The sequence below is a fragment of the Homo sapiens genome, chromosome 3, assembly GCF_000001405.40.
Source record: "Homo sapiens chromosome 3, GRCh38.p14 Primary Assembly".
NCBI classification, from domain to species: domain Eukaryota; kingdom Metazoa; phylum Chordata; class Mammalia; order Primates; family Hominidae; genus Homo; species Homo sapiens.
The window spans coordinates 179,865,542-179,880,865 of NC_000003.12; the positions used below are offsets into that span (position 1 = coordinate 179,865,542).

A 15,324-nucleotide genomic window follows, 5' to 3' on the forward strand; every position below is an offset into this window, starting at 1 on the left:
CTGTGGGAAGGGATATATACATATATACAAAAGTAATGCTTATAAACTGGTTATATTGCTTAGTACTTACATAAAGGTATGGTAAACAAAACAACTACACGTTACACTTATACATTTGAGTTGCAGTTGTTTTGACAGCACAGTGACTTCTAAACCTTTGTGGGCACTGGAATCACTGGAAGGCCTTGTTAAAATGCAGATTGCTAGGCCCCACCTCCGGGGACTCCGATTCAGTAGGTCTGAGGTAAGGCCCAGAATCTGCATTTCTAACAAGTTCTCAGGTGATACTGGTAGTGCTAGGCTAGGAAACTACACAGAGAACCTTTGATCTAGATATTGGCATTATGTGTATATAGTTCACAAATGTACTGGAGTTCACAAATGTACTCTAATGTAGGCATTTCTTTTCTCCTTTGCATGATTTTGAAAAATGCTCCACAGCTATAGCAAGCTCCTGGAAACATCTTGGGTTTACAAATGGCATTTTAATTGGTTTAACTTAATTGGATTGTAGGATATTGCACTCTCCAAAGAAGAAAGCATTAAGTTCCCCTAACTGTTGATTGTTCTGAATGATAAGCACTAGGTAAAGAGAGAGAAGAAAGGATTTAACAGATTTTTAAAAGGAATGTTGTATTTTATTTTCTTTGTTCTAGCAAAACTCCGTTGGCTAACCACAATGACCGTTGTTAATAGCTTCTCATACAATTGCCTATATATTATCGCTGGAGGAGAAAAAGGAATCTGTTTAACTGTAGAAAAGAAAAATATAACAACTAGCAGACCTTGACTGACAGAATAACACGGTCATTGAAAGCATATGCTGGAATCAGATTGCCTGAGGCCAAATCCTGGTTTACCATTTACTACCACCTGGTGACCTTGGACAAATTACTTAAACTATTTTCATCTGTAAAGCATACGGTCACATGTTGAGTCCCTATAAGGACTGATGATAACAATTCATGTAAATACACCATACATAGGACATAGTACGTGCTTAATACAACTTTGCTTTCATTATTATCTTTCTGGTTAGTGCCTACCAGGTGTGACTTTTAGAGAACTTTTGTTTAGTGGTTGGCAGAGACTAGTTGGAATCTTATACTAGAATAGATCATTTAAACACTTTCCTCATTGAAATACCCAGGATTTTTTTTTCTTAAACAGCTAACAAACATTTGTCATTGAAAGTACACACGGCCGGGCACGGTGGCTCACGCCTGTAATCCCAGCACTTTGGGAGGCCGAGGTGGGCGGATTGCCCGAGCTCGGGAGTTTGAAACCAGCCTGGGCAACATCGCAAAACCCTGTCTCTACTAAAAACACAAAAAATCAGCCGGGCATGGTGGCTGGTGTCTGTAATTCCAGCTACTCGGGAGGCTGAGGCAGGAGAATTGCTTGAACCTGGGAGGCAGATGTTGCCGTGAGTCGAGATCGCGCCACTGTACTCCAGCCTGGGTGACAGAGCAAGACTCTGTCTCAAAAAAAAAAAAAAAAGAAAAAAAAAAAAGAAAAGAAAATACACACAAAAACTGTCCCTTGTATGTAAAGGAGCCAATTCCTAGAGCTTTGTACAAGGCATGGCAGCATATAGTCCCCATCTCCCTTCAACTACCAAATTCTATGTTGAAGAATATTGAGGCAAATAAGTGCTGATTTGTGAACAGTCTATTATCGGGCAAAACTAAAAACTATTATTGAAACTAGTTTTAAAAATGATCCAGAATAAAATTTTGGGTTTTTTTCCTGCCCTTTAATTAACTTCAGCTGCTACTTCCACATTGTTAAATTTGATTAGTTGTTTTCCTTTTTTGTTAGGATCCCTTATTTTCCACTTCCACAAATATTTGAGAATGTACTGTGTACAGATTTCCTACTGTGCTGGAAGTGGTCTTTCAGATTTCTTTCCTGCCTGCCTGCCTTCTTTCTTTCTTCGTGACTTCCATCTTTGTTTCACTCCCTCCTCATTAATCACTCACTGTGTGTGGCCTGGAGGGAAAAAGCCATGTTGAAGTGGCTCCTGTACTGTATTCCAGCAAGCAAAATTATTAATATTGATAGTGTATCTAATAGTTTCTGTTAGACACAAAGATTTCAGCTTTAGTCTAACTCCTCTTTCCAATGCTTTCCTTGCCTCGCGGAGAGTAAACATTCAAACACATTTGTTGAACTGAATGGAATGAAACGGAAGCCATCAATACTTCTAAAAGTAAGGGCTTGACAATCATTTTGGAAGAGGAAGGCACAAAATTGTGTATGGCCTGAAATCAGATGACAATCCTAATTTGTTTTACAAAGATTCTGGAATAAAGTGATACACATTCTTTAAAATTACTTAATCATATCAACCCTGTAAAAGTAAGTAATAATCAGAGTTTGCAGTGAGAAGGGAAATTGTGAATTATCTCTGGTGGATAAGCATGATGTGGCTGAAAGGAGGTGGTCTGTAGTTAAGAACAAATGCTTTATTATTTATGTATTTATTCTTCTTCTTCTTCTTTTTTTTTTTTTTTTTTTTTAGAGATGGGGTTTCACTATGTTGCCCAGGCTGGTCTTGAACTTCAGAGCTCAAGGATCTGCCTGCCTTGGTCTCCCAAAGTGCTAGGATTACAGGCATGAGTCACCGCACCCAGCCCAATAACAAAGGCTTTAGGAGCTAATGGGTTGATTTGAGTCCTGGATCCTTTCCTCTTTAGCTGTGTCACCTGGGGAAAATTTTGCTCTCTAAGATGTATTTTTCTTCTGTGAAATGGGGATTATATTAACTCCCAAAGTTATTGTAAGAATTTCAAATAATATATAAAAATATAATCTCATATTACACATAGGAAGTAGGTATGCGATAAATAACAGCTACTAAGATGCATTTCCTTTTACATTACTCCTTTAGAAATTTAGAAAACATACCTGCACTTAAGGTTTAAATTGCTCTGGTTTGGGATTGAAGGAAATCAAAATGTTTTACTCCAAAATATATTTCTTTGACATAATCTGAAGTGGCCCTGCAAAGCTGTCTTTTGTTGGGGAAATTCGCATCTGTAGATCTGTAGAGAATCTGTATTAATGCAACCAGCACTTCCTTTGCCCAGATCTAGGAAAGATTAACTGAGAGTCTGACACCTTTAAAGGACTGAAAGGAAACATTTACCAGCTATTCTCTCTGAGACTCCTACCTGCCAGAGGCTTCATCTATATGATAAGGCCCCCTTTGCTAGCCAAGCCTCTTCCTTTCTCCCTCCCATAACGCATCCTGCAACCAAAACCTGTTTTTGCCCATGCTCTGAGCCCATATTCTCTCCACAACCTCAAGATGGTATATAAGCTTCTGTACCTCACTGGGGGGTTGGGTCTTCGTTCCGAGGGCTCCTGTGTATACACGTTAAGAACATCTGTATGCCTTTTCTCCCATTAATCAATCTGCCTCATGTCAGTGGTTTTTCAGCGAACCTTTAGGGGGACCAAGGGCTTTGGTCCCCTCAGGATATTGCCAACATTTAAATTGTTCTGGTTTGGAATTAAGACTATGTGAATGGAAGCATTTGCTGTGCCAAAGTCAGCAAAATCAGTGAGTTACAAAATTGTGACTTGGCACTTGGAGAGCTGGCTGCTGCACATCCCAGTAAAATCTAACCGAGGTCTGCAAAAGCCTGTCTTGGAGCTCCCCTTCCAAGTGTCCAAATCCAAAAAGGCTTGAACCATCAGTCTCCAGCAGAAGCTGAATTATTTTTCTTTTGCCTCACTAATCACTATCTTAACCTATTTGTGGAGAAGGGTAATTTTATGTTACTTTCTGTGTTTTTCTTAATTCTTCAAGTGTTTTCTAATTTTTTGGGATATATGACTTTTAAAAACAACTCCAGGGAATATTAGTTACACAGTTTGGGTAAGTGTCAAGAAACTTTATTCTTAAAAACACAGAGATTATATAATTTATTATCACCTCCAGTCACTCTGATTAGTGTATTGTTGGGGCTCAGAAAAATGGTACCCCAAAACATGGCACTTGGACGTGCCGGGTACTTTGAACTAAAGAGGCAGCCTCAGAACCAAGGTGTCTCTGACCTTTTCCCATTCCCCTGTCTCTTGCCCCTCTGCCTCCCCTGAAGCACAGGTAGGGACTTTCTCTGAAGTTCCCAGAAGAAATGCAATCTCCTTAGAAAAGATTAACTCCCAGGAAGGAACACTAGAGTTGACACCACACCAACTCAGTTAAAGATCCTGAAACTTTTCTGCAATTTAGCAGTGTGCCCAGACTTGCTGGTTTAGGATTGAGAATGAAATACGGATTATAACACATGGTAAAGATCAGCCTTCCCAATATGGCTTTTGTTATATATAGATATCTATATAAATCAACTTCTTACATATTTTAAGTTCAGCCTAAAGATTTCTCTGTACATAGTGAGCTATAACCTAAATAGAAGCGTAAACAGACTGTAACCTACTGTTGTGCCAATCATGGAGTTTTGGCTGATCGAAGGGGACTCAGATGAACTTTACCAGGCTGAAACTGCCCCCACAGGGTTGACAAGAATTGCATGCCAGGTTCTGGACAGAAATATGGTGATAATTAAGCATAAATAAGGCTGCGCTTTGTCCCACTTCCTTGTGGCTAATAGTCACATAGCAGTAGATACTGACAATTTATATCCTCATAGTTCCTACAGACAGGATCTCTGACATTCAAATCATAAGGCTTTTGTTTAAGGATCATTAAGATATTTTTCAGACCCTGAATTCCAGCAACCAGTTTGAAGACCCCCACAGATGAATGGGATCAGCATGAGAACACAGCTTCTTCATCTCTCTGTCCTATAGCTTCACTCTGCACTCTTCAACCAGTTAGTGATCTCTACACTTCTGCCCACTCCAAGACCCTTAAAAACCCTAGCCCCAAACTCCTCGGGGAGATGGATTTGAGGTTTCCTCCCATCTCCTTGTTGGGTGACACTGTGATCAAACCTCTTTCTCTGTTGCAACTTGGTGTCTTGGCTAACGGACTTGCATTGGGTGATGAACCTATTACAGTTACCAGGCTATTGTCTGTTCTTCAGGCCCCTTCATTTCCCCTAAAAATAATTTACTCTTCCTCTAAGAGTACCATCATTCCCTACTTCCCTCTCCTCTATGAAGAGGATATTTAGGCTCCAATCATCTGGGCCTTCCCTGAGTTTCATACTTTGTGTGACTCTCCGCATGCTTCCACATCAATCCGTTTGCATGCCTTTCCTCCTGTTAACCAGTTTGTTTTGTAGACTCAAATTCTCAAAACTTCCAGAGGTGGAAAGAAAGTTCCTTTTATCCCTACAGCATTCAAAACACTATTTGAAAGAGGCTAGACTATGTTTTCCTTTTCCTCATCTTATAAAGAAAATTTGAAAACATTAGTTCTTCACATTGTGAGCTTCCATTTTCTTTGTGATTCTGAAATACAATTTTTAAAGGAATTTTGTAAATGGGTCTTCACCTGTTGGGTCACTGCCTCATATAATTTATGTTGGCTTGAGAGAGAAGAAAACATCTCCTTGATTTTCCTGTGAACCATTTGAGTTATACTTTTTTTTTTTTTTTTTTTTTTGGCTGAGTCTCGCTCTGTCACCCAGACTGGAATGCAGTAGCACAATCTTGGCTCACTGCAACCTCTGCCTCCCAGGTTCAAGCAATTTTCATGCCTCAGCCTCCTGCGTAGCTGGGACTACAGGCATGCACCACCAGGCCTGGCTAAATTTTGTATTTTTAGCAGAGATGGGGTTTCACCATGTTACCCAGGCTGCTTTCGAACTCCTGACCTTAAGTAATCCACCCACCTTGGCCTCCCAGAATGCTGGGATTACATGCGTGAGCCACCACACCTGGCCCCATCTGAGTTATACTTTTAAGGTGAATTTTTATACCACCTTCATGATTTTATCTATATAAATTGTTCATAGATTAAAAGACAAAATATTTATTTATGCTTCTAACAGTATATTGTTAAATCAACTCCTTACATATTTGAAGTTCGGCCTAAAGATTTCTCTGTACATAGTGAACCATAACCTAAATGGAGATGTAAACAAACTGTAACCTACTCCTGTGCCAATCACACAGTTGTGGCTGATCAAAGGGGGGCAATTGTTCAAATCGTGTTCAAATAAGGCAAATGCCAAGCTGTAACCAATATGGCTGTTTCTGTTCCTCACTTCAGTTTTCTAGACATCACTTTCCTTTTACTTTCTGTAAATCTTCCTCCCCGTAGCTTCACTGGAGTCTTTCTGAGCCTACTCTGGCTCAGCAGGCTGCCTGATTCGTGAATTGTTCTTTGCTCAGTAACTCTGTTAAGTTTAATTTGGCTAACGTTTTTCTTTTCTTTCTTTTTTTGAGACAGGGTGTTGCTCTGTCTCCCATGCTGGAGTGCAGTGGCTCAGTCTTAGCTCACTGTAGCCTCTGCCTCCCAGGCACAGTCATCCTTCTACCTCAGCCTCTTGAGGAGCTGGGCTACAGGCTTGTGCTATCATGCCTGGCTAATTTTTGTGTTTTTTGTAGAGACAGGGTTTTGCTATGTATCCCAGGCTGATCTCAAACTCCTGGGCTCAAGTGATCTACTGCCTCGGCCTACCAAAGTGTTGGGATTACAGGCGTGAGCCACTGTGCTCAGCCAGATTTTTCTTTTAACATCTTTTTGTCTTTTATTACAGGTAGATTGATCAGGTTATTCTCTTGCTGTTTGAGTGACTTGGTGTTTCAGATCTATTAAGTCCCAAATTCATGAAATTTTCCTAATTTAACCATAGGCTGAAATTAAAACTAGGAGATTATGAATTTCCTTAGTTTAGGCAAATCTGCATAAGTGAACATGCAATGTTTTTAAAAAAACAAATAAGAGTAAATTCTTTACAAATAATTGATAACTCTCTAAAAGGATTCATTAAGATTTGTCCAGATAGAAAACTCTCAGGTGCATTTTAAACTATGTTTTGGAGACAATATAGAAAATTTTCTAAAGTATTTTGTCTTTGTTTAAAGTAAGGTGTACTGATGGGTAAGAGGAAGGACAGTTTGGTGGGACGAAATCAGACAACCAGCAGGAGAGTTGCAGTCACTGGAATAACATAAATGCATCCTGGGTCTCTATGGCAACCAGGGACACCAGCTGATCTTCCACCTCAGCTCCTTGTAGAACAGCCCACCTGTGCCAAGTCTCACCTGCTTTAGAAACAAACGTTTTATTGCTACATTAAATTGTTCCAAGAATTCCAGTTTATGAAACAGTACCAATCACTTTAGCTGAGCCTAAATCTCTACTGTACTTATCATGAAATATTTTTCTGATATAGTAAGTGCTATAAATTTCCTTTTAAAAATACATTTAGAGTGAGCACCAAGGAAAAAACTACATTTTCATGCTACATTTACAATTCTTTGAGGTTTGCAGGGCTATTTATTCAGGAAGTTAGTGGACTTGTTTCCCAGCTAAGATCTGGGAGCAGTAATCGTCCTCTCTTGTGGAGGGTCAGGTGTTTGTAGGGGGCGCTGCTGGTGGCTTAGAAAAGTTTCCAGAGGCTTTCTATTTGCTGAAGATTTCTTCTCTGTCTGTGTCCTACCTCTCTCTGCCACTTACTAGTTGTGGGTCCGCGGACAAGTTTCTTCAGCTCACTGTAACTTAGTTTCACTGTCTATAAAATTGGACTTACCTGATCGAGTGATTTAACAGAAAAAAATGAGCTAATATGTAAGAAGTCCTTATAGCACTCAGTAATATCTGCTATTATTATAATTATTTGTTTATTTCACCTCAGATAGTATATTTCCTCTTGGTTTCAACATCTAGTAAGCTCAGGAAAATTTCTCTTGCTTATTTTATCACACTTATTTTCCTTAAACACTGAATCTCATCTCAACTAGATTGTAGAATGCATGAATTTGGATGCACACAACTTATGATATCTTCGTGGTTTTAGATCAAGGCCTTTAAAAGCGTTCAAGGGAATGAAAAGATTGAGACTGACTTTGGCCTTCTTAGAACCATAGGAGATATGGTCTTAATCATAGGAGATAACTAGTTATAAAACAGCTAGTTAAACTGGACTTAAGGTTCAAGTAATGGACAGACAGACCTGGTTCACACCCTACTTCCACCAGTGATTTAGCTGAGTGTCCCAGGAAAATGTGCTTGACGTCACTGAGACTAAAGAGTATCTTTAAAGTGAGGTTAATAATAATTCACAGGATTATTTGAGTATTTTATATATAACACTTAAAAAACATACGTGAAGTCCCTGATACTTAGTAGCACTCATAAATAGTAGCTCTTATTGTCATCATCATGACTCCTAATACTATAATAATATATTTCTCAGCATGACATTTATTTTAATGTGACAGTCAGGGTACCAATGTGTAGTATATTCCACAGGGCATAGGTGTGAATGAACACTCAAGATGCAATTTCCTCTCCATCGAGTTCTGTTATGTAAATAGTGCTAATAATAGAGTAGAACAGATTTTGTATTACAAAATAATAGAACAGTAAATGGTAGAACAAGGAAAAAGTGCTAAGTACACAGTGAATTCATTAACACATTTTCCAGCCAAATGTGTAGATATACATATATATATATATATACACACACACCTATATTTCAGCTATTTTAAGTATTGAGATAGCTACTGAATGAAACAGCACATGAAACGCAATGTACAAAAAATACTTCAAACTTTTTGTACAAAATGAAAATAAAGCATTTATGCTATACACTATATATAGGGAAAGATGTGTTCATTGAATAATCAGTTTTGTTACCTGAGTCGGAGCCACTAATTCCAATTCTGAAGCCGACTCAGAGTTGAGGGCGCTTTTTCCACCACTCAGTTCTGGTTGAGATCTGTGTTCTGAGGACCTATAAGGGATGCATTAAGGAAATTAAACGTACACTAGAAACAAATTAAGCTATAAATCCAGCCAAGAAACTAGGTAATTTGGATCATTGAAAGCCATGATGTCAAAGCTCTCATCAAAATTCTGATGATAGAGATAAGTTTCATGTATTTCTATTATAATGGTCACTTTCAGAATGTAAGAGGCTACAGTGTGCTAGGTGTTATTATCTTCGATTAAAAATTCAGTTCGATTATGGGCAAAAAGTAAATAAATGCAGTACCATTTTTGTTACAGAAAATTCTGTTTCATAAAAAAATTATGGTTTTTTTTTTTGTTTTTTTTTTTTTTTTTTTTTTTTGGTAGGGGAAGAAACTTCCCAAAAAGTGTCTCAGGAGAGATTTTATCTTTATATAGAATTTGCAATGTCATGATAAGTGGAGATGTGGCAGGGCAGTAGGAGACGGAAGCCAGACACTGCCCTTTAGGAAGCTTCAAAAATATGGTACAACTCAGGTGGCCAGATTTTCTCATAAGCATCAATGCATTATTCTTAATTATTTGATTATCTGATAGTGGATGATGGAGCAAACCAAAAAAGGTACCTGTATAGCTGCAAAAATTTAACTATTATTTAATATATTGAATATTATCATGTATATACACGTATACACCTATTTTTACTAATTAGCACAGTTACACATTCAGAACATTATTAACAATGTTGATTTAAGAATCTCTCAAAATGCTTATTGACTGAGACTGAGTTGCATTGATTTTTGACAGTTGAAATGAAATAATTTGAGTTGGTAGAAGCCACAATAATTGGTATTGTTATATAGGGGTTACATGTGATGCCAAGTATTTGGATTGACTTAACTCTTTGGCTATTTCAGTGCCACTCATAAAGTTGATACATAAATGGCCGTTTTCTGGTATTAAAATACCTTACCATAAGAGCTCTTTTGATCCAGTTCTAGATGAGGATGATTTTCTCTCTGCCATTGGATGTCCCTTGGTATTTCGATCTCCATGAAACTTAACATCGTCCCATTTTTCCAGTTGTGTTTGAATGTCTAGTAAGTACAGAGGAAGCAGGTGAGGCAGGTGGCGGCAGGGCGGGGTAGGGGGAGCGGTGGCGGGGAGTGGGGTGAGGGTGGAGCGTGTGGTGCAGAGGGAAAAAGATTAATTAAGATTGAAAAATCTTATCCAAGGGAGCTTCATTGAACCAATGTTCCCAAGCCCCAAGATCAACCTTTATCTTTCCAATGTTGCATACAAATTAAAACTTGTGCAGCTAAATAGAAATCTCCTGTTAAGATAAATTGCATTGCTTTTACAGTTAAAGCAATCAAGTTGTTTGACCTGAATTTATTTTTGAATCTGTGTACATTCTGAATCTTGTATATAAGCCTGTGCGATCTGGTGTAGAATGTACATCTGGAGCACTACTCTATCAGTCTCTGGCTAAAGTGGGGGCTTGGGGGCTTTGCTGGCATGATTCTGGAAAGAAATTCTGTTTAAAAAGATGAGCTTCAGTGTTAAAAGGAGGTGGGAATAAATCAGAAAACTTTCATAGCTTTTGAATAAAGCATGTAATTTTTCACCAAAAGGAGAGAATTTATAATGGGGGAGAGAGAGAAAGGAGGCAATGAGGACAGCCAAGGGAATGCTGGAACCATTTTATCCCTGTGGCTTAGTTCTTACAGATAAAAAATCTGGCTGGATTCTCTCATTAACAGGTGTGTGGCTGTGAATAAACCACTGAAACAATCTTGGGGTTCAGTTTTTTAGTTTATAAAAAGATCGGGCCAGGTGGTGGTGGCTCACGCCTATAATCCCAGCACATTGGGAGGCAGAGGCGGGTGGATCACCTGAGGTCAGCAGTTCGACACCAGCCTGACCAACATGGTGAAACCCTGTTTCTACTAAATAAAAAAAAAAAATGAATGGGGTGTGGTGGTGCATGCCTGTAATCCCAGCTACTTGGGAGGCTGAAGCAGGAGAATTGCTTGATCCTGGGAGGTGGAGGTTGCAGTGGGCCCAGATTGCGCCTCTGCACTCCAGCCTGGGCAATAGATCAAAACTCTGTCTAAAAAAAAAAAAAAGATCAGTTTGCAGTAGATGTTCTCTAAGGTCTTTTTTCCCCTTCTTTTTAAAAACTGTGGTAAAAAATACATAACAAATTGACCACTTAAACCATATTTTAGTGTATAATTGAGTAGCATTAGTACAGTCGCACTGCTGTGTGACCATCACCACTATTCATCTCCAAAATTTCTCATCATTTCAAACTGAAACTCTACTCATTAAACACGAACTCCTCATTCCCCCTCCCCCACAAACCCTGGTAACTTTTATTCTACTTTCTGTCTATATGAAGTTGACTATTGTAGGTACCTCATACAAGTGGAATCCTCCAATCCAGGTTGATTATTCCTTATGCAAAATGCTTGGGACCAGGAGTGTTTCAAATTTGGGATTTTTTTTCTTGGTTTTTGGAATATTTGCATGTGTCATAATGAGATATCTTGGGGCTGGGACTCAAATTTAAACACGAAATTCAATTATGTTTCATACACACCTTACACACATAGCCTGAAGGTAATTTTATAAAGTATTTTAAATAATCTTATGCATGAAACAAAGTTCTGACTGTGACTTATCACATGAAGTCAAGTGTGGAATTTTCCACTTACAGATTTTGGAAGATTTCAGATTTTCGAATTAGGGATGCTCAACCTGTATTTGTCCTTTTGTGCCTGGTTTACTTCACTTAGCACAATATCTTCAAGGTTCATCCATGTTGTAGCATGTAAGTTATTCCTTTCCAAGGCTGAATAAGTTCATTGTCTGTATATACCACATTGTGTTTATCCATTCATCTCATGATGGGTTTCAGTTGTTTTCACCTTTGTACTATTGTGAATAACACTGCTATTCTTAAAGGTGCTTTTAAACTAAGTACTTTTACAACCTTTTCATAGGACATTTTCTCAGAAGCAGAGAAATAAATGTTCATCATTTGCATGCTTATTGTGTTATATTGTAATATATTAATATATTCTTTTTTTTAAGACAAGGTCTCACTCTGTTGCCCAGGCTGAAGTGCTATGGTGCAGTCACAGCTCACTGCAGCCTCAATCTCTTGGGCTTAAGCAATCCTCCTGCCTCAGCCTCCCAAGTAGCTGGGACTACAGGCTTATGCCACTATGCCAGGCTAATTTTTAAAATTTTGTAGAGATGGGATCTCACTATGTTGTCCAAGCTGGTCTCAAACTCCTGGCCTCAAGCACTCCTCCTGCCTCAGCCTTCCAAAGTGCTGGGATTACAGATATGAGCCACTGCACCCAATCAATGTATTAATATATTTTAATCTAAATCTATAAATGTTATTAACTTATTTGTACAACTGAATAAACCTAGATAGTGAGGAAATAGTAGAGATAGTTATAAAATTTCCCTCCAAAGACAGACCTCAAAGAGGGATGGCAGGGGAGAGGCGTTCCTGTGTATGCCACTAGTTTGAACAATGGCTTGGTTCTCTTTCCTTTCTTTACAATCTATCCCTGGAAGAGCTCATCTACACCCATGGTTCCAATATCCATTCACACACAGGCTTCTGACTTACAAATCTCCATTTCCTACTCAGTTCTTTTTCTCCAGTTCTAGACCTATATACTTAACAGTCTAATGGAGGTATCCACAGAGAAGTCCCATAGTTTCCTCAAATATAGCAGGTTCAAAGCTGAACTCAATAGTTCACTCCTGCCCCTCTTCCATCTTCTATCATGGAGCTTGGCATGTTCTACATGTCCCCATTGCTCACGTATACATATTATCTTTGTTTCCAAGTCTTGTTTTAATATTTTTTGGAACCTGTCTCTCTCTTTCTCATTATCCCCCTTGTCACTATTGGATCTCTGTACTGGTCTCCTTGCCTCTATTCCTTTCTCAATAAATCCACCAGAGAAGGATTTTTCTAAAATAGGAACTGTTGCTGTCATTCCTCTTAGCAGAACCCTTCAAACATCATCTCTCCTCCCCCAGTCTTCAGTGCATGACATCCAAGGATTCCTATGATCTCACCACTAGTGATTTTCAGTCTTTTTCTCTCACTATTCTACCATCCTTGAGTACTACTGAAATACGTATATTTACTTAAAAAGACATCTTTCCATGTTTATCTATTTGTGTGTGAATACCTTTCCTTTCTGCACCAGGGATACCCTGCTCTGTTCTCCCCACCTTTCTCCTGATCTATCTTGAATCTGGCAAATTCCTATGCATTCCTCAAACCTCAGCTCACATAGTACCTCTTGTAAGACACCTTCTCCCACTGGCTGGAGCAATGGCATGATGTGGAGGCTCATGTAGTAACTGATGTGGGTTTTCTTTCATTGCTACATATAGTTAATATTTTATTATAATCATTTAATCATTTTTCTATCTCCCTACTAGACTGTAAATTTGCTAAGGCACAGAGAGCTTATATTATTTATCTTTGTATTCCTAGCACATAGTTTGTGCTGGGAATATGGTAGATACTCAGAGAAATGTTTGCTGAACAAATGAATAAATTAATTCATGACCATTTAACATGTACATATCATAATAATAAGTGATTTCATATATTCCCATTTATTCCTCACAGCCTTATGGATAAGCTATGAATATGATCTCCTTATGAATGTATATACAATATTCACCTCCCCACACATATACATACACACACAGCAGTCAGTCACAGCCAGGGAAGATTCATGTTCCTCTTGGCTTTCTAAGATACCTGTCACTGTTCTTTCTCTTGAGAAAGGAGAGCTTAATGTGTCTGATTCCAGGAGCTGAGAATTAAGCTGTCCTTTCTCAGAGGAGGTAGAATACAGTGGAAAACATATGGGCTTTGAGGTTGACTAGAACTAGGCTCAAATTTCAACTGTTCTTCTTATAAACTGTGAGATCTTGGGCAAATTGCTTAAATTTTGAAACTTGGTTCCTCAGATGTTTCAAAGAGTTGTGATAATTTAATGAGATAATATATGTAAGTAATGTACTGTGGTTCCTAGGCATTGTAACCCACCATCAAATGGTAGCTGTTATTATTGTATGGCATGTATTCCCAAACACGTTTGTGACATACTGTTTCATCTGGCTGCCCCTGGGCCTTGCATTAGAGTTCGTTACTCACAAGTCCCTCTTTCTCATCCTGGACTGAGTGCTCCTACAGAGCAAGATGCACATTTTATCTTTATTTGTAACTTTAGTGCCTAACCTGGCACCCAGCACCTATCTATAACTCAATATTTGTGGGTCGAATAAATAAATGAATCAATCAGTTATGCAAAGTTGAGCTCCCCAATTGCTGTACAGTTCAAGCTCAAAAGAAGCTATGTCCTGTCCAGTTTCCACCATGGAATGCCTTTTCTACTCCTTTGTTCTCTGTTTAATGCCATTGGTGGAAATTTCCTCTTGTATCCACATCAGCAGAGCAAGGTTGAGCATCCATAGCCGCAAGCGATTGCCTTACCTAGATCTAAGGATGAAGTCTCCGGGACTCTGAGAGGCTGGCCTCTCTGCTCAGCATCCGTGCTGATGAGGTCAGATCCATCGGCCTTTTTCTTGAGGGATGAGGTTTTTGATGAGGGCTCTGACTTCTTGGCTTTGGTTTGGGTTTGAGAGACTGGTTCACTCAGGTCGAGGAGATCTAAGCCAGTGGTCAATACTACCAGAAATGGAAGAGGTTAAGATAAGCCCATTTACTACTCTGAAATTATTTAAAATAGGTTTCAGTTGGGTACAGAAAGATTTTATGTTTGTAGGATAGGTTAGAATAAAATTACGTTAGCTCATCATTGATTTATAGAGACAGCTTGTTAGACTGGGATGTTTGCTGCATGTTATTCTTATAGTTGGTATGGCACAAATTGGTAAGAAAGGACTTAGACCAGCCTCAGCAATGATGAAGCTTTGAATGAAATTAAAATGATCAAACTGAATCTGAGTTCAGGTGCTATTTACTTTATTGCTTTGCTTTATTTATACTGAAGGTTATTTTAGATTGCAATTTCCCAGAGAGGAGTCAATCTACCATATTCAGAGATTTAGTGAAGGTTTTGAATGTCTTTGTGTTTTAATTTTAAACAATAAAGTATATGGGGTATAAAGCAATGCTGTTAATCATCTTTTATTTAATTAAGCAGTTCAATCAGAAAATGGCATCCTGTTTGGGTTCACCCAAGAGAGGTATTTTATAATCCATAGTTGATGAATAGGTACACATGTTAATGCCTTTGCTGTTTAGTATGCAAATTTGAATTTCAATGTAACTAACTATAAAACTGTTACACTTTTACTTCCTAGCAGGTTGATTACATTGCATTAAATACTCTAATGAAAGCAGAAATAATAACTTGTTCAAATGCAAATAAGGCAAATGAGAATTAAAAAAGCAAGTTTTATAACCT

At 38.5% G+C, this 15,324-nt stretch overlaps 1 protein-coding gene across 38 annotated transcripts in view; it reads right to left on the reverse strand.

The window, feature by feature from the left end:
• The window catches only part of PEX5L (peroxisomal biogenesis factor 5 like), a 241,980-nt gene that overhangs the window by 70,584 nt on the left and 156,072 nt on the right, over nt 1–15,324 (reverse strand). For 25 of the 38 annotated variants that reach the window (NR_146167.2, NM_001349401.2, NM_001256753.2 and 22 more), the window contains 3 exons: nt 14,388–14,582; nt 9,813–9,936; nt 8,786–8,882 (listed from right to left, as the gene is read on the reverse strand). Coding sequence is in view for 37 of the 38 variants with exons in the window: in NM_001256753.2 (NP_001243682.1) it covers nt 8,786–8,882; nt 9,813–9,936; nt 14,388–14,582 (416 nt within the window). In the remaining variant the exon portion in view is untranslated. The remainder of the gene's footprint in view (nt 1–8,785; nt 8,883–9,812; nt 9,937–14,387; nt 14,583–15,324) is intronic. The other 13 variants (NM_001349404.2, XM_047448299.1, NM_001349398.2 and 10 more) reach the window with 1 other exon arrangement.